This window comes from Homo sapiens, chromosome 3, assembly GCF_000001405.40.
Source record: "Homo sapiens chromosome 3, GRCh38.p14 Primary Assembly".
Taxonomy (NCBI): domain Eukaryota; kingdom Metazoa; phylum Chordata; class Mammalia; order Primates; family Hominidae; genus Homo; species Homo sapiens.
In genome coordinates, this window is record NC_000003.12 from 72064828 (window position 1) to 72082519 (window position 17692).

The 17692-nt window shown below is 41.7% G+C and overlaps 1 long non-coding RNA gene across 1 annotated transcript in view, besides 5 other annotated features; it reads right to left on the reverse strand.

Annotated features, from left to right (window-relative positions):
* LINC00877 (long intergenic non-protein coding RNA 877) overlaps positions 1 to 17692 on the reverse strand; it is a 64937-nt gene that overhangs the window by 29309 nt on the left and 17936 nt on the right. The window lies entirely within an intron of this gene.
* Positions 13372 to 13461: an enhancer, noted in NCBI's record as "active region_20067". NCBI's record gives its function as "activates an Ori minimal core promoter by ATAC-STARR-seq in GM12878 lymphoblastoid cells {active_cell/tissue: GM12878}" and the evidence as "EXISTENCE:reporter gene assay evidence [ECO:0000049][PMID:35858748]".
* Positions 13532 to 13661: an enhancer, noted in NCBI's record as "active region_20068". NCBI's record gives its function as "activates an Ori minimal core promoter by ATAC-STARR-seq in GM12878 lymphoblastoid cells {active_cell/tissue: GM12878}" and the evidence as "EXISTENCE:reporter gene assay evidence [ECO:0000049][PMID:35858748]".
* Positions 13782 to 13831: an enhancer, noted in NCBI's record as "active region_20069". NCBI's record gives its function as "activates an Ori minimal core promoter by ATAC-STARR-seq in GM12878 lymphoblastoid cells {active_cell/tissue: GM12878}" and the evidence as "EXISTENCE:reporter gene assay evidence [ECO:0000049][PMID:35858748]".
* Positions 17124 to 17193: a silencer, noted in NCBI's record as "silent region_14525". NCBI's record gives its function as "represses an Ori minimal core promoter by ATAC-STARR-seq in GM12878 lymphoblastoid cells {active_cell/tissue: GM12878}" and the evidence as "EXISTENCE:reporter gene assay evidence [ECO:0000049][PMID:35858748]".
* Positions 17534 to 17633: an enhancer, noted in NCBI's record as "active region_20070". NCBI's record gives its function as "activates an Ori minimal core promoter by ATAC-STARR-seq in GM12878 lymphoblastoid cells {active_cell/tissue: GM12878}" and the evidence as "EXISTENCE:reporter gene assay evidence [ECO:0000049][PMID:35858748]".

Here is a 17692-nt window from a genome sequence, read left to right on the forward strand (position 1 = left end):
AGAATTCAAGATGAGATTTGGGTGGGGACAAAGCCAAACCATATCTATCTATCTATCTATCTATCTATCTATCTATCTATCTATCTATCTATAATCTATCTATCTATCTATAATCTATCTATCTATCTCTCTATCTATCTATAATCTATCTATCTATCTATCTAGTTTTAGAAGGGATATTGCAGGGCAAGGATAGGAGAAATATGTGTCCTGTCAGTGGTGGAGAAATTCTACAGGAGGGGAGGATTTGATAGTTTCAAAGGTTGGCACCTCATTTTGCCAAAATCAACTTAGATGGGTCTGCATTTGGGTCCGTTTTCTTTCTAGGATGTTGATATTAATATCACCCTGTAGGTACATTCCATACACTCCAAGGCCTTTTAATCTTTTTAGTATTCTATGCATTCAAAGGAAAAGAGAGAGGGAGAAAAGAGGGAAAGAAAAGGTAAGAGATACAGAGGGTAAAATTGAAGTTCTGATGAAAATGCAAACATGGCACTTCCCTTTAAAAGAGAATGAGGCAGCAGGTTCATTGGTTTTCCACAGTGCCACAGAGCTCCAGGCCTTTGTTCATTCACAGCTCTTCAGAAACAAGATTCTTTTATTCGAGTGAACTGTTCCTCACTGGATGGATCTCAAATTCCAAGCCAAGTGAATGTGACTATAGGGGAAAGAGTGTTCACTGCAGAAGAATGAAGAGCCCAGTGCAAACCAAGGAGGCTGAGGACATCATTGATTCAATATTTTGTCAACTGTATTGATTTAACTAGGCAGAAGAGGCCCCTTCCCTTATCATTCTGAATCAAGGGCTTGAAGTGAGTTCATTAATTCACTTTTTCACTCCTTCATTTATTCATTCAGTCAGTCTTTATTGAGCATCTACTCTATTATGGATTTAGTGATGAATAACAAAGCCAGGTTGCCTGCCTTCGTAGAGTTTATATTCTAGTGGTGGTGGGAAATAGGAAATAAAGAAGTTAAATAAATGTGGCAATTTCAGATTGTGGCAGGTGCTATGAAGGGAATAAAACAATGGTGCAGTAGATGTTAATCAGTCAGGGTGGTATGTTACATAAAGTGGTGTTCTTATGATCTATTACTGTGTAACAGATCACTTCAAAACTTAATGGTCAAAACAAACATCTCTGCTCCATGGAGTGTCAGCTGGGGAGGCTCAGCTAGGGCTGGCTCATTCACGAGGCTGGCAAGTTGGTGCTGGTTGTGAGCTGAGACTCAGCCTCGACTGCCTGACACCCATGGGTTTTAGTACTTCCCATGTGGCTGCTTGAGCTTCTTTACAGTGTGATTGTTGGGTTCTCAGAGTTAGTATTCCAAGAGGCAAGGTGGAAGCTGCAAATCTTGATATAATCTAGACTTGAACGTCTCCATAGTTTACTTTTGCTGCATGTGACTGTTCAAATGAGTCACTGAGGCCAGCCTAGATGCATGGAGAGGGGAACAGACTCCACAGGTGGTCTGGAGGATCTCTCTGAGGAGATGATTTTGAAACTATTAATGTATCTTGAAGAATGATTTTAGTACCAACTAGGTAAAAAGCACTAGGTAGGGCTTCTAGGCAGAAAGAACAACAAATGCCAAGGCCATGAGGAAGAAAAGAACGTGGCATGACTGCAGGACAGTTTGTTGAAAGGCCACTGTGACTGCAGCACTGTGGGCTGGAGAAGCTTAGTGGTAGATGAGTTGAAAAGATAAGCAGTGACTGGCTGACATAGCCCACATTAAGGAGTGCAGATTTTATTCTAAGTGCGGTGAGAAGCCCTTCAAGGATTTTTAAACAGGAGTGACATGATCTGATTTACTTTTGAGAGTTTACATTGACAGCTATATTAGCTTGCTAGGGCTTCCGTAAAATAATACTACAGACTGGGTGACTTAAACAACAGAAATTTATTTTCTCATAGTCTGGAAGCTGGAAGTCCAAAATCAAGGTGTCGGCAAATATGATTTCTTGGGGCTTCTCTCCTTGGCTTGCAGATGGCCACATTCTCACTGTGTCCTCTCTGTGTGCACACATTTTCTCTGTGTGCATGCATCCCTGGATGTCTTTCTGTGTGTCAAAATCCCTCTGATCACATATGCTGGCTGCTATTTGAGAAGGCCATCCTCTGGCCAGCCTGGTCCTGGAATATTTCTGCACAATCTACCACTGGATGCAATGGTGCATAAAGTGGTTCATCTGTCTAAAGGGGTGTATTAGTCAGTTTTCATGTTGCTCATAAAGATATACCTGAGACTGGGCAATTTACAAAAGAAAGAGGTTTAATTGGACCCACAGTTCCACGTGGCTGGGGAGGCCTTACAATCATCGCAGAAGGCAAGGAAGAGCAAGTCACATCTTATGTGGATGGCAGCAGGTAAAGAGAGCTTGTGGAGGGAAACTCTCCGTTTTAAAAACCATCAGATCTCATGAGACTTATTCACTGTCACAAAAACAGTAGAGGAAAGACCTGCCCCGATGATTCAATTACCTCCCACTGGGCACCTCCCATAACATGTCGGAATTCAAGATGAGATTGGGGTGGGGACACAGCCAAACCATATCAAAGGGCTAAAGAAAAAAATATCCCTTATTTTAACCTCTACTTTCCCCTTACCCTATCCTCATGCAATGGACTACCTAAGAGGTGGGGAAGGGAAGATTTGCCAATTACTACCAAGGGAGTTAAAAACTTGAAAGCAGCAAAAGAGGAGTATTTTTGATGTTCAGGTTTTCTTAAGCAAGGCCACATTGTGCTCAGAATAAATTATACAAGACAGAAGGAGAGAAAAGTTATAGGCTAAATACTATTTATCTAGTAGGGGTGAGGTTGGGAAGATAGAGTTGGAAGAACAATATCATCAGGGTCTTAGGGAGTGAAGTTTCTCTGGCACACACACAAGACAGAACTTTGGTGGTTTAAAATATGTCCAAAAGTGCTTGGCAGTCCTCCTAATTTCCATCCCCGACTTGAGTGTGGGGCTGGACTTACTGATTTACTTCTAACCAGTAGATATAATGAGACTGATCATGTATGACTTCCAAGACTAGATCATAAGACACACTTAAGCTTCCTTCTTTCTTAGGTCACTCATTCTGGGAAAAGCCAGCTGCCATGTCATGAGGATATACCAAACAGTATATGGAGAGGCCATATGGTGAGAAATTGAGGGCTTCCACCAACAGCCATGTGCTCCTCCTGCCCCAGTTAAACCTTCAGTTGACCATAGACCCAGCTGGCATCTTGACTGCAACTACATGAGAGACCCTAAGCCAGAGCCCAGCTATGTCTCAAATTCCTAATTCACAGAAATTGTGGAGATAGTAAATATTTTTTTTGTGTTAAGCCACTAGATTTTAGGGGTAATTTTTTGTGCTACAATAGATCATTATTTGATTATTAGTGGGGGTGGGGAGATAGAACAGGAAGAATCCATCATGAAGATTTTAGGAAGCAAAATTGCTCTAGCACATGACATATAACAGGTATCAACATTTCTTGCCTCTTCTGTCTACTGAATTGAAACAAAATACTGGAGATAATCTACATATTATCTACAGAATTCTCATGGAACCAGAATTTCTGGGTCAAAAGATAACTCAGAGAGTTGAAAAATCTTCATTTTTTCCCATAATAGATAGGGAAACCTAGATTCAGAGAAAATAAGTGATTTTCCCGAAGTTCTTTTATCCAGTTTGGAGGAATCCTGGTTTAAGTTGTAGGCAACAGGCAAATTCGGAAAAGTTATTGATATCAGGAATTTCCAGCTGGCCTAGGTAATAATGTTTTCTGCACATCACCAATACTGAGGGTTCACAAACATATTTACAATAGCCAGGAGACAAAGCTGTCTGTGGAATTACAATTCAGTATCAATATGTAAAACTGATTTGTTGTTTGTTTAAGGAAAATTGTTGCAATCTTTCCTTAAGCAAGTTGTAAGTCCCCAAGACACAGAAAGTGTTGACTCATATTGAGCGGCTTCATGTAAACAATTGGTTTGCCATCTGACAACTCTAGCCTTCAAAAGGCCCTGGAATGCAAAGACTGGTTAAGGAAAACCTCTAGACTGGAGATGTCCCATGGAGGTTCCCCAGCTATTAAGCTTGTTCTTCAGCTCTTGAGAAGATTGCTTTTCTGAAACAATAATTTTTTTGCCATCACTTTCAATGGCAAAAACTACAATTACTTTTACACCAACCTAATAATAAGGGATGGTCTGACTTTATGGAGTCCTAGATCATTTCAATTTGGTGATGTTCAGGCTTTCTTAAGTTCCATGCCTTAAGCACTTTTTTTGAGCCAGCAAATAGACACCTTTATACCAATTTGATACCCAGAAATACTCAGGTAGAAGCTTCTTCAGAGACCTGCTCTAATTTCTCTAACCATCACCATCTTTTTATAAGTAGTAATAAGTAGTAATCTGGAGTTCTATAAACTTGACTTTTATACATCACTGTGCACAACCCAGCTTCTGTCCTCCTCTCCCACTCACTCAGGTACCACTGTGCCCCTTGATCACTCCACTCCAGACACATTGACCTTCCTTTTGTTCCTAAAATAAGACAGATTCTTTCCCATCTGAGATCCTTTCCATCTGCTTTTCTTTCCATCTGGAATATTCTCATCTCATGGCTCTTAGAATGGCAGTTTAATGCTCAGTGTTTCAATGTTCACGTATCAATTCAAATGACCCCACCTCTTAGAGAAGCCTTCCCTGTGTGGGCACCCCTCCCTTTCCCATCTGTGACAGTCAGTTGTATGTGTCAGCATGGCTAGGCTATAGCTCCCAGTTATTCAATGGAGCACTAGTCTAGGTGTTTCTGGGAAGGTATTTTGTGGGTGTGATTAAAGTCCATAATCTTTCAGTAAGGAAAATTATTCTCCATAGTCTGGGTGGACCTGACCTAATCAGTTGAAAGGTCTTAAAACTAGAGTTGAGGTTTCTCTGAGGAAGATGAAATTCTGTCTTTCAACAGCAGATTCAGTTGTGCTCAAGACTTCCAGCCATCCTTCCTGATAGCCAGTTCTACAGATTTCAGACTGGCCTAGCCAGCTCCTATACCTGCTCAAGACAATTCTCTGCAATAAATCTCTTAATATATTCTACTGGTTCTTTTTCTGTGGTGGAGCCCTGTGTGATATAACTCTCCAGTTACACCATTTATTTTCTTAGTGCTCAGGTTGCCTGAGTTAGCTAGTAAAAATACAATATTGCAGCTAGGATGCAATACTTGGGATGTACATACACTAAAAAAATTTTGATGTTTATCTGAAATTCAGATTTAACTGGACATCCTGTATTTCAGGGGTTCCCAACTCCCAGTAAGGAACTGGGCCTCACAGCAGGAGGTGAACAGCGGGTGAGTGAGCAAAGCTCCATCTGTGTTTACAGCCACTCCCCATCGCTTGCTTTACCGCCTGAGCTCCACCTCCTGTCAGATCAGCAGTGGCATTAGATTCTCATAGAAGCACGAACCCTATTGAGAACTGCGTATGTGAGGGATCTAGGTTGCTGGCTCCTTATGAGAATCTAACGCCTGATGATCTGTCACTGTCTCCCATCACCTCAGTTGGGACTGTCTAGTTGCAGGAAAACAAGCTTAGGGCTCCCACTGATTCTGCATTATGGTGAGTTGTAGAATGTACAATATAATCATAATAGAAATAAAGTGCACAGTAAATGTAATGCACTTGAATGATCCCAAAACCATCCCCCTGGGCCCTCACCCTTGGTCTGTGGAAAAATTGTCTTCCACCAAACTGCTCCCTGGTGCCAAAAACTTTGGGGACTGCAGCTGTATTTGATCTGGTGACCCTACGTAGTATTTATCACAATTTTAATTTACCTTATTATTATTATTATTATTGAGACAAAGTCTCACTCTGCCACTCAGGGTGGAGTGCAGTGGCATGATCTTGGCTCACTGCAACCTCTGCCTCCTGGGTTCAAGCAATTCTCATGCCTCAGCCTACCAAGTAGCTGAGATTTGGCTAATATTTTGTATTTTTGGTAGAGGAAGGGGTTTTACCATGTTGGCCATGCAGGTCTCGAACTCCTGGCTTCAAGTGATCCACCCGTCTCGGCCTCCCAAAGTGCTGGGATTATAGGCGTAAGCCACCGCACCCAGCCTGAATTTACCTTACTTCTTGTCCATCTCCCCATCTAGTCTGGAGGTTCCATGAGGATGGGGACCTTATATGTCAATTTCATGGCTATATCCCATTTCCTGAAACAATGTCTGGAAATGAAAAGGTCTTTAGTAGATATTTATTAAGTGAATTAATAAATGAATATATTATGTCACCTGTACAGTTATGCTTTCTGCCTTGAGAGGCCCGAATCACCCTTCACATGCAGAAATTGGGTTTCTGTTTTTCAACAGTTGAATCAGTGCTTCAAACGATGGCATCCGAGTGTGTGGTCTGTTGGCTAAGGGTTCCATTTTTCACATTGCTGTTGTTGTCTGCCCAGTAGAGTGTTGGTTTGTGTGATTATTTGACTATTTTAGGAGCTCATTGCTCTTATTATTTTGTAAAAATGAACGAAAATGGAAAAGCAAAAGTGCTGATAGTGGTGATAAGATTCTTGTCTCATAAACTTAGTATAATCACACCGCAAAATAAATCACAAGACAAGCCAAATGCAGCAGATCTTCAGCCCTGATCAGAAGCGCATAGAACGCAGGCTGCCTGGCTGTCGAATCATGCAAGGAGAAAAAGGAGCAATAATAAGAACATGCGTGAAATCCTAAGGCTCTGTCGCTGAGGACTGGTTACAGTGGAATTAGAAATTTTTTTCTTTCAGCATCTGGAGGCAGTAATCACTTTTAACAAGTGAATCTATTGTTTGATTTGGGGCATTGGCTTTTTGTTCTGCCTGCAATTTAAGGCACAGCTCAAGTGTCACCTCTTCCCTGAAGACTTTCCAGCTCCTTTTCCCCCAGCCCCACCCCTGAGAACTATTTTTTTGTTTTTTCCCCTGTGCTCCCAGGAGTGTGTTGTTTGAAACCATTTTAAGTATGTGTTTTCACTCTCCTTTTAATTTTACTCACCTACTACAATTGTTTCCTCCTTTAAATAGCAAATTCCTTGAAAATAGGAAATGCTTTACACTCCCTTCCTGCAAATATCCCAAACTCCGTTATAGGGAGCTCAGTGCTAGCGTGGAAGTTAATGTGGACTTGATGTTAAAAGCCCGGGTTTAGAACCCAGCTCTGCCCTTTGAAAACTTTGTGCCCTTTGATATACAATTGCATTCCTCTCCAAGGCTCAGTTTCCTCACCTGTCAAATGGGAACACAACTGTCTACTGAGAGGTTTATATGGGTTACTATTGGGGAACAATTGGAACTGTAAAATGCCAGCTCCGTGGAAGGTCTTAATGATGTCTAAGCAGAAACAATGATCAAACATGTTGGTTGAATGAATGTCTTTGTTAGCTCGAAATCTCAAGAGTTGAAAAAGAATATCAAGATATCTCTATATAAGAATACAGAGTTTTTACATAGGCAAGAATGTCTCTGGATTCTGATGGAATAGGCCCCTCCACTCTAATCTCACCCTTCTACCAAGTAGGATTGAATCTATCTGCTCCTGAACAAATTCTGTCCCGACCTGGCCCAATGCCTTAAGCCTTCACCATTACTCCTGTAGGCTGATACATTCTGTTCATTGTCTCTGGGCTGAAATCAGTGGGCCTCCAGACAGGCTTAGTAGGTCAAGTTGGGGTGAAGAAAAAGCAATGCATTTGGGGCCTGGCGGCAAAGCCTTCTACAGCCCTGCCACATACCACCTACTTGACCCCCAACCTCAACATTCTGTAATTCAACCTTTCTTAGCTTCAGTTTTCTCATCTAGGAGTCATGCATGATAAGCACACCCTCTCTCACAAGATTACTAAGGCACAGTTTCTCAACCTCAGCACTATCAACATTCTGGTTAGATAATTCTGTGTGTGTGTGTGTGTGTGTGTGTGTGTGTGTGTGTGTGTGTGTATGTGTGTAGGGAGACTACCCTGTGCATTACAAGATGTTTATCAGCATCTCTATTCTCCAGCTACTAGATGCCAGTAGCACCTTCTACCGGTTGTGACAACCAAAAACATCTCCAAATATTTCCTGGGAAACAAAATTGCCCATAGTCAGGAAACACCACAGTAAGGATTAAAATCAGTAATTCCTATGTGAGCCTTTGTAAATCTGAGAGCCCAATACAAGTGTTAGTTTTAATTATTTTGCTCTGATTTCAGAGAAAATTAAATTTCCCTCTTCTGTGATTCCTTAGCACTTAAAAAATAATAACAGCTAGCAATAATTGAATACTTGTTATGTGGTAGGCTCTGGTATTGTCTTATTTCGCACATAAGAAAACTAAGCCTCTGAGTGGCATGCCCAAGATTACAAGAGTAAGCAGTCAAGGCAAAATTTGAACCCACAATGTTTGTTCAATGAGTCTAAACCCATGCTCTCAACTTGCATTAGTTATTTATTGCTGTATAACAAATTATCACAACTTAGCAGCTTAAAACAGCATACATTTGTTTTCTCACTGTATCTGTAGGTAAGGAATCTGGGCACAACTTAGGAGGTCCTCTGAATAACTACAACCAAGGTTTTGGCCAGGACTGAGGTCTCATTTGAATGCTCAACTGAGCTACTTTCCAGTTCACATGGCTGTTGGCAGAATCCAGTTGTTTTTAGGTTGTAAGACAGAGCCTCAGGTCCCTACTTGCTGTCAGCTGGAGGTCACCCTCAGTTCCTTGCCAGTTGAGCCTCACTGTAGGATAGCTCACAACATGGCAACTTGCTTCAACAAGTCTAGCAAAGGAGAGAGACTGTTAGCAATACGGACATTGCAATTTTATGTAACATAATCATGGAAGTGACACGTTATCACCTTTGCTATATTCTATTGGTTAAAAGCAAGTTGCTTGGCCAACCCACCATCACACAGTGGGATCACAGGGGCAGACATACCAGGAGGTGAGGATCCTTGAGGCCATCTAAGAGTCAGCCTACCAATCCATGCTGTCCTGCTTCCTGCTTAGCCCACTTATTACAAATGTGTAAGCCTCTTTCAGCTACTAGCCCAAGTGCTGTTTTTAGGGTTTTGTTTTTGCTTTGTAGATTGTCTGCATCTTCGCAGGCTGCAATAACAAAATACCATAGAGTAAATAGCTTAAACAACAGACAATTCTTTCTCACATTTCTGGAGGCTGGGAGATTCAGGATCAAGGTGCCTACTGATTCATTTTTCTGATGAGGGCTCTCTTTCTGGCTTGCAGACAGACACCTTCTTGCTGTGTCTTCAGACAGCAGAGAGAGAGAGAGAGAGAGAGAGAGAGAGAGAGAGAGCTCACCCTTCCTCCCCTTGTAACGCCATGAATCTTGTGATGAGGGTTCTATGCTCATGACCTCATCTAAATCTAATTATCTCCCAAAGGTCCCATCCCCAAATACCAGAGAGAGGGATGTTGATTCTTCTAGGATAGGCTATATATATATATAGGATATATATATATATATATATAGAGAGAGAGGATATATATATATATATAGGATATATATATATTTAGGATATATATATATATAGGATATATATATATTTAGGATATATATATATAGGATATATATATATAGGATATATATATATATAGGATATATATATTTAGGATATATATATAGGATATATATATATAGGATATATATATAGGATATATATATAGGATATATATATAGGATATATATATAGGATATATATATAGGATATATATATAGGATATATATATATAGGATATATATATATAGGATATATATATATAGGATATATATATAGGATATATATATATAGGATATATATATATAGGATATATATATATAGGATATATATATATAGGATATATATATATATAGGATATATATATATAGGATATATATATATAGAGAGAGAGGATATATATATATATATATAGAGAGAGAGAGAGAGAGAGGATATATATATATATATATGAGACAGGGTCTTGCTCTGTCACCCACATTGGAGTGCAGTGGCATGATCACTGCTCACTGCAACCTCAACCTCCCTGGCTCAGGCAATCCTTCCCAATTCAGCCTCCTGAGTAGCTGGGACTACAGATACGCACCACCATGCCTGGCTAGTTTTTATATTTTGTGTAGAGATGAGATTTTGCCATGTTGCCCAGGCTGGTCTTGAACTTTTGAGCTCAAGTGATCTACTTGCCTTAGCCTCTGAAAGTGCTAGGATTACAGGTGTGAGCCACCCCATCCAGCCTGGAATAAGCATCTTTTTTATATACCTATCTTGGAACCTAAGCCAAGGCTTGGTACTTGGTAGGTCTCAGAAACTGTAGGCTGAGTGAATGAAAAACACATGCATAGGAACAGAGGAAAAAGTTCCAAGAGATTGGGACCCAGGACTGGTAAACATTAAGGGGGGTTGTGGAGGCACTCTGAAATAAGGAAAATGGAAGTCTGCCTGAGTCAAGCAATATGACAGAAACATGGGCTTTGAAGTTCAATAAACTACACTGTTGAATCAATCTCTGCAAGCAGCATTTTCTCTCTTGCAAGTGGGAATATTGTTGATACCTGCCTCAAAGTGGTGTTGTGAGGACTGGAGAAGGTAATGCATGAAAGTCCCTCACATAGTTTATGTTTAGATCAGTGGATGGCAAAATCTGTATTAGTCTCTTTTGCTGCTATAACAAATGACCACTATCGGAAGAACCAGCCCCAATATTTCAATGTAGGTTCTTTTCTATTTCCCCTAAGTGTTGGCCAGTCTGCGAAATAAAGAGAAAGAGTACAAAAGAGAGAAATTTTATAGCTGGGCCTCCGGGGGTGACATCACATGTCGGCAGGTTCCATGATGCCCCTTGAGCCACAAAACTGCAAGTTTTTATTAAGGACTTCAAAAGGGGAGGGGGTACGAATAGGGAGTGGGTCACAGAGATCACATGCTTCCTAGGGCAATAAAAGATCACAAGACAAGTGGCAGAGCAAGATCACAAGGCCAGGGCGAAATCAGAATTACTGATGAGGTTCCATGTCCTGCTGGGCACACATTGTCATTGATAAACATGTTAACAGGAAACAAGGTTAGAGAGCAGACAACTTGTCTGACTAGAATTTGCCAGGCTGGAATTTCCTAATCCTAGCAAGCCTGAGGGCACTGCAGGAGACCAGGGCGTATTTCATCCCTTATCTTCAACCGCATAAGACAGACACTCCCAGAGCGGCCATTTTACAGACCTTCCCCTGGGAATACATTCCTTTCCCAGGTTTATTCCTTGCTGGGAAAAGAATTCCGCGATATTTCTCCTATTCGCCTTCTGCAAGAAGAGAAATATGACTCTGTTCTGCCTGGCCCCACAGGCAGTCAGATCTTATGGTTATCTCCCTTGTTCCCTGAAAATCACTGTTATCCTGTTCTTTTTTAGGATGCCCAGATTTCATATTGTTCAAACACACATGTTTTACAAACAATTTGTGCAGTTAATGCAATTATCACAGGGTCCTGAGGTGACATATATCTTCAGTTTACGAAGATGATGGGATTAAGAGATTAAAGTAAAGACAGGCATAGGAAATTATAAGAGTATTGATTGGGGAAGTGATAAATGTCTGTGAAATCTTCACAATTTATGTTCTTCTGCCACAGCTTCAGCCGGTCCCTCCATTTGGGGTCCCTGACTTCCCACAGCAGACGACAAACACAGTGGGCTTAAAACAATGTGAATTTATTATCCTATAGTTCTGGAATAAAAATACTGGGCTAAAATCAAGGTGTCAGCCTATCTTCCTTTTGGAGGCTCTAGGGGAAAATCTGCTTCCTTGCTTTGTCCAACTTCTAGAGACTGCCGGCATTCCTTGGCTTGTGGTCCCTTCTTCCAGCTTCAAGGCCAGAAGTGTGGCATCTTCTCTTTTCTCTGACCTCAGCTTCCATCCTTACATCTTCTCTCTCTGATTCTGATGCTTCTGCTGATCTCTCACAAGGACTCTTCTGATTACATTGGGCCCACCAGGATAACCTCCCCATCTCAAGACCCTCAACATAATCACATCTGCAGAATTCCTTTTACAGTGGAAAGTAATATATTCACAGGTTCCAGGGATTAGGATATGGACATCTTTGGAGGGCCATTATTATTATTATTATTTAATTTAAAAAGAGACAGTATCTCACTATATTGCCCAGGCTGGTCTTGAACTCCTGGGCTCGAGTGATCCTCTTTCCTCAGCCTACCAAAGTGTTGGGATTACAGGTGTGAGCCACCGTGCTGGCCTGGAGGCCATTGTTCAACCTGCAAAAATATGCTGTCTGTTCCCAAAGTTTTATGTCTATCTCAACTGCATTGACCCATTCTTAAAAACTCCCAACCCATTACAGCAATCAACCTGAATCCAAAATCTCATCTAAGTCTTATCAGGTCAAAAGTTTCATTTCTCATCACATAAATCATCGAATATAGGCATGGGTGAAGCTCTGGGTATAGTCCAGTGTGTGGCACAATTTCTCTCTATCTGTGGACCTATGAAGCTAGCAAAGAAATTATCTGCTCCCAAAATACAAAATGAAACACACTCCACCAGGGTAACAGCACTCCCATTCAAAACGAGAGAAGAAGGAAAGAAAAAAAAGAGTCCCTGGTCCCAAATGTTTTCTAAATCCAACCAGAAAAACTCCATTAGGTTTCAAGGCATGGCTCTCAGCTCTGCCTTCAGAGCCTATAAGGTCTGCTCTCACAGTCATCTTTCCTTCTTCATAAAGGGTAATACTTGTTTGCAGCTGTAGTTTCACCCACCTGTTTCCTGTCTGTAGAATTTTGGTGATCTGACAACCTTCTTTCATTTTGTTCTCTCTGTCCCTTTCAGGTCAAGCTGGCAGTGTTTTGGGGCACATACCATTCTTAAAAGCCTTGTGAGTTTCCTGCATATGTCACATGGACTCACTCCATTTGACCATCAGGCCAAATCAAACCTATTGCCTCTTTTTGTAAATGAAGTTTTATTGCAACACAGACACACCTACCTGTTCATTTACATATTGTTGATGGCTATTTACATGATATAACAGAGTGAAGGGTTGCAACAGAGACAGTGTGGCTCAAAAGCTGAGACTATTTACTATCTAACCCTTTTCAGAAAATGTTTGCTGATGACTGGCCCAGAGCCAAAACCCAAATAAGTAGTAGCGTTTAAACAAATGACAGGCTTGGGTGGGTTGCAAAAGCGGGGCCGCTTGGAGGTAGTGAATATTTCAGATGTTGTGCGGGAGGTGTGAGGAGAAAAGTGAGAAGCGGTGAGGGACGAAGGAAGAGGAAGTGAGAGCCATGGACTTCAGAAGTAAACTTGAACTTCTTGGCAAGTTACCTTGGAAGCCTGGGGCCAGGGTCATTAAGCAGCAAGATTACCATGAAGGAAAAGAGTGAACCAAAAGAAAGTAAGGGGAGAAATTCAAACTGGGCTCAATTGTGACAGAAAAGAAAAATCACACCTAGAGCAGTACACTGAGTCCCTTAGTATGCAAGAACCACATTGCCTCCTCCTCATCCTCCCTCTGAAAAGAAGCCCGCTGTGCACACCTATGGGACAGCCTTTGCTTAATTCTATGTGCCAGCGGCAGCTTCCCAGTAAGCCTTCTCCCCTTTGCTTTTGCTCCGTGGAAATGAGAACACGCCAAGGGTGACGTTTGTGTGTGGGTTTTGGCGCTTTCACAAAAAGCTTCATTAGCCTTATTTAGAATATGATTGCTCCTTCAATCCCTGTGCATAAATGGATTTCAGGTGACCATGCCTGTCACAGGCCCCTGCTCGCCTGGTTACTGGCTTGAGGTATTCTTTGGTTTAAACAAAGCAGGACAAATAAAGAGCAAAGACCCACTCAGGGCCCTAGATGTTCATAGAAACTGATTTCCCCTTAAAAAAACAGCTCACTGTGGGAGTTGTAAATAGGAAGAAATGAACCATTTAAGAGAGTCTTTGAGACTACTGCCTGTTGGAATGGAACCAGTTTGGGGTTTGGGGTGGAGGTGGCATGTCAAATTTGTGGTTACTTCCTAAACACACACAAACTGTTTCAATATCTGATTTGAATATGCTACAACTGCCCCCTGCCAAAACCCTGCCCAGCAGTCTTTCTCCCCACAAACAGCTAAGCCAAGAACCCCAGGACAATTTGCTGTCTGTGCTGATAGACTATCTGGGGTTTCTAAAGCAGGCGATGTATTCTATTTCAGGAAATCAGACCAAATAAAAATCATTCCAATTAAAAAGTGCCACTGGGCAAGTAGAACAGCAAGTGCCCACCTCACACAAAACAGACCAACCACAAAGTGCAGGCTTTCATATATGTTGTTGATGGCAGAGTCACTGCCTTAGAGCCTCGAGTTTATTCAATGGGATAAAAGTTGCCTGGTAAATTGGGCTGAGAGGATTTTTTCCCAGAAGGCCATCACAAGGCATTTTGATGTACTTATCATTTACAAGAGCCTAGAGGAATCTAAAAGTGATTTTGATTTCAAATACTATAGAACCCAGTTATTATATAGCTTATTAATACTGAGCTTCAAATAACCATCAGATATATTCTGAGACACACACATATGCACACACATACACATACACACACATACACACACACACACCCTCTGTACAGGCTTGTAATATGAGGCCTGTGATGGTGATGTCTCATGTTATTTAGGGAGTCGGGTTCTAAATTTCTACAAAGATGAAAATTGTGTACAGTTAAAGGTGCATTTGGAAAATCCCTTCAAATGCCCACTAGCACAGTGAGGTGCTTGCACCGTGAGAGGTAGGAAGTAAATCTGATTACTTCAGCTCTCACATGCCCCTTGCAGGTGAGGATGGGCAGAACCAACACCATGTCAGCCCTCTTTTTCACTCTTCTTGCTGAGGGCATGGAGATGAATTCACTTTAGTTAACTGTATAGGTTATATAATTTCACCTTGATCAGCTCACCCCCAGGAGGGTTAGTCCTGTCTACAAATACAAAAGCCACTCGTGTCTTTTTTGTAGGAAAAATTCCTCACTACCTGGTAAGGAAGACCCTCCATTGTCTCAGCCACTAAAAACACTCCCAGTGTCTTCCATCCCTTTTTCTTCCCCTTTCTCTCCTAAAAAGACTGACTTTGGCTTTTGAAAATTGGTTAAACCTTCTCTCTCTCCCTCTTTTCTCTCTTTCTCATTAGCATTTCTAAGTGTAATGTTCAAAGCTTCCAATGGGGACAATGCCCTGAAATTTCAGACAGCTCCAAAGGACTCCTTCCCACGCTGATGTAGGCACTTGAGTTTTGAATTAGCAATTTCCCAGCACAACCTGAATTCTAGAAGTTAGGTTACAAGTGGATTGATGAACTTTATTATTCAGACCTTTTCAGTTAAAAGTGCCAGAAACCAACTCAAAGCTTAAGTAAAATGGGGAAGTTTTTTTGACTCATGCGAGTGAAAATTTGAATGTGGTATTAGCCTTGGGATGCTAGTGAATCGAATGACAAGGATCTCTTTTCCCTCCCCTTGCCTTCCTCTTTTCCACTGTCCCTTCCTCCCTCCCCATCTCTTCTTCCTTCCTTTCCCCCTTTCTCCCTCCCCTGCATAGACTTAGCTTCTCTTTTCTCTGTAGGTTGGGGCTGATTCCCTCTTACAAGAGGACTCCATTCATTTATGGGGTTGGGTGAACTGCATCCTTCACTCACATCATCACATCTTAGGGCCGTCCAAGGAAACAGTGATTTCTCTCTTCTGGTGCCCAAAGGTGTGTCAACAAAAAGAGTCAAACTCTGTAAAATATTTGAAGAGATTTATTCTAGCCAAACATGAGTGACCAATGGCCTGTGACACAACCCTCAGGAGATCCTGAGAACATGTGCCCAAGGTGGTTGAGCTACAACTTGGTTTTCTACATTTTAGGGAGACATAAGAAGATCAATCAATACATGTAAGATGTGTATTGGTTCGGTCTGGAATGGCAGGACAACTGGAAGCGGGGGCGCTCACAGGTCATAGGCAGATTCAGAGACTTTTTGATTGGCATTTGGTTGAAAGAGTTATTATCTAAAGACCTGGGATCAACAGAAGGAATGTCTGGGTTGTGATAAGGCATTGTAGACACCAAGGTTTATCATGTAGATGAAGCCTCAGGTGGCAGGCTGCAGACAGAATAGATTGTAAATGTTTCTTATCACACTTAAAACGTCTGTTCTATCAGTCTTAAGGTTGAGTTGATGTTAATGCTGGTCAGGTGAGCCTGAATTCCAAAAGGGGAGGACGGTTTGGTGAAGCATGTCTGACTCCCTCTTCCCATCATGGCCTGAACTAGTTTTTCTGGTTAACTTTGGAATGCCTTGGCCAAGAGATGGGGTCCATCAAAATGGCTGAGGACTTAGAATTTTACTTTTGGTTTATGGATGAATCCCAGAGAAGGATTCTGATAGGCTGGTCTGGTCACAAGCTTCCTTAGCCCAGTCACAGGGTCTGAAGGGAGAAGACACTAGGATTGGGCAGACCTCGATCCCATGGCCAACCTTGTGGCTTACGGGAAGACTGAGGAGTTTAGCAGCCTGACAGACACCATATAGCAGTATGCAGTGTGCCAGGCGTGGTGGCTCATGCCTATAATCCCAAAACTTTGGGAGGCCAAGGTGGGCAGATCTCCTGGAGTCAGGAGTTTGAGGGCCAACAAGGCGAGACCCCGTCTCTACTAAAAATAGAAAAAATAGCTGGGTGTGGTGATGCGTGTCTGTAATTTCAGCTACTCAGGAGGCTGAAGCAGGAGCGTCACTTGAACCCCAGAGGCAGGGGTTGGCCTGAGCTGAGATCACACCACTGCACTCCAGCCTGGGCAACAGAGTGAAACTCTGTCAACAAAAAAAAAAAGAAGAAGAAGAAGTATGCAGTGACAAGGATTTTCCCAAAGAAAGATAAAGGGAGAGTGCAGGTACAAATGTAAAGAAGAAATAAGCACTATGTGGAATAAACCACATATGTTCACCTCAGGGTCCTAAGAAAAATCAGAAAAAAAAAAAACAAAAAAACAAAAAAAAACAACAACAAAAAAACCAGACCATCTCACTCCTACCATCACACATTCAACCAAACATCCTAATGGGCCTGCAGCTCAAGCTGACCTTACCAGCACTGTGTATGATATTACCTTGCAACTAGTAACAGTCTTAGCAACCGGCCCCAAATAGTCATCTCTGAGCAGTGATCCACAACTTGGAGAAGGCATGAAAACGAAGTTTCTCTGATTTGAAAATCTGCTCACTTTGTAAGTCAGGATTTTGCAAGTTTTCTAATTATAGTGGTTTACCCTTAAAGCCAAACAAAACCAAAAAAACCAATGCCATAATTGCGTGCAATGCTTGAAGCAATTACTTTTGGCAGCTCCAGGCACCACCTCCGTTCTCCGTCATCCATCACAGTGTGGACTGAATGTCTGCAGAGCAAGCATTCTGCTGCCATTCCAGACCAAAGGTCATGCTAATGTCTCTGTCTGTTTTTTCTCTCTTTATCTTTCTTCTTCCCTCTTTTAAAGTCTGGTCCCTAGACAAGCAGCATCAGCATCTCCCGGGAACTTACTTGAAATGCAAATTCTTGAACCCCTTCCCAGACCTGCTGAATCTGAAAGAGAAAGTAGAGGTGGCAGCAA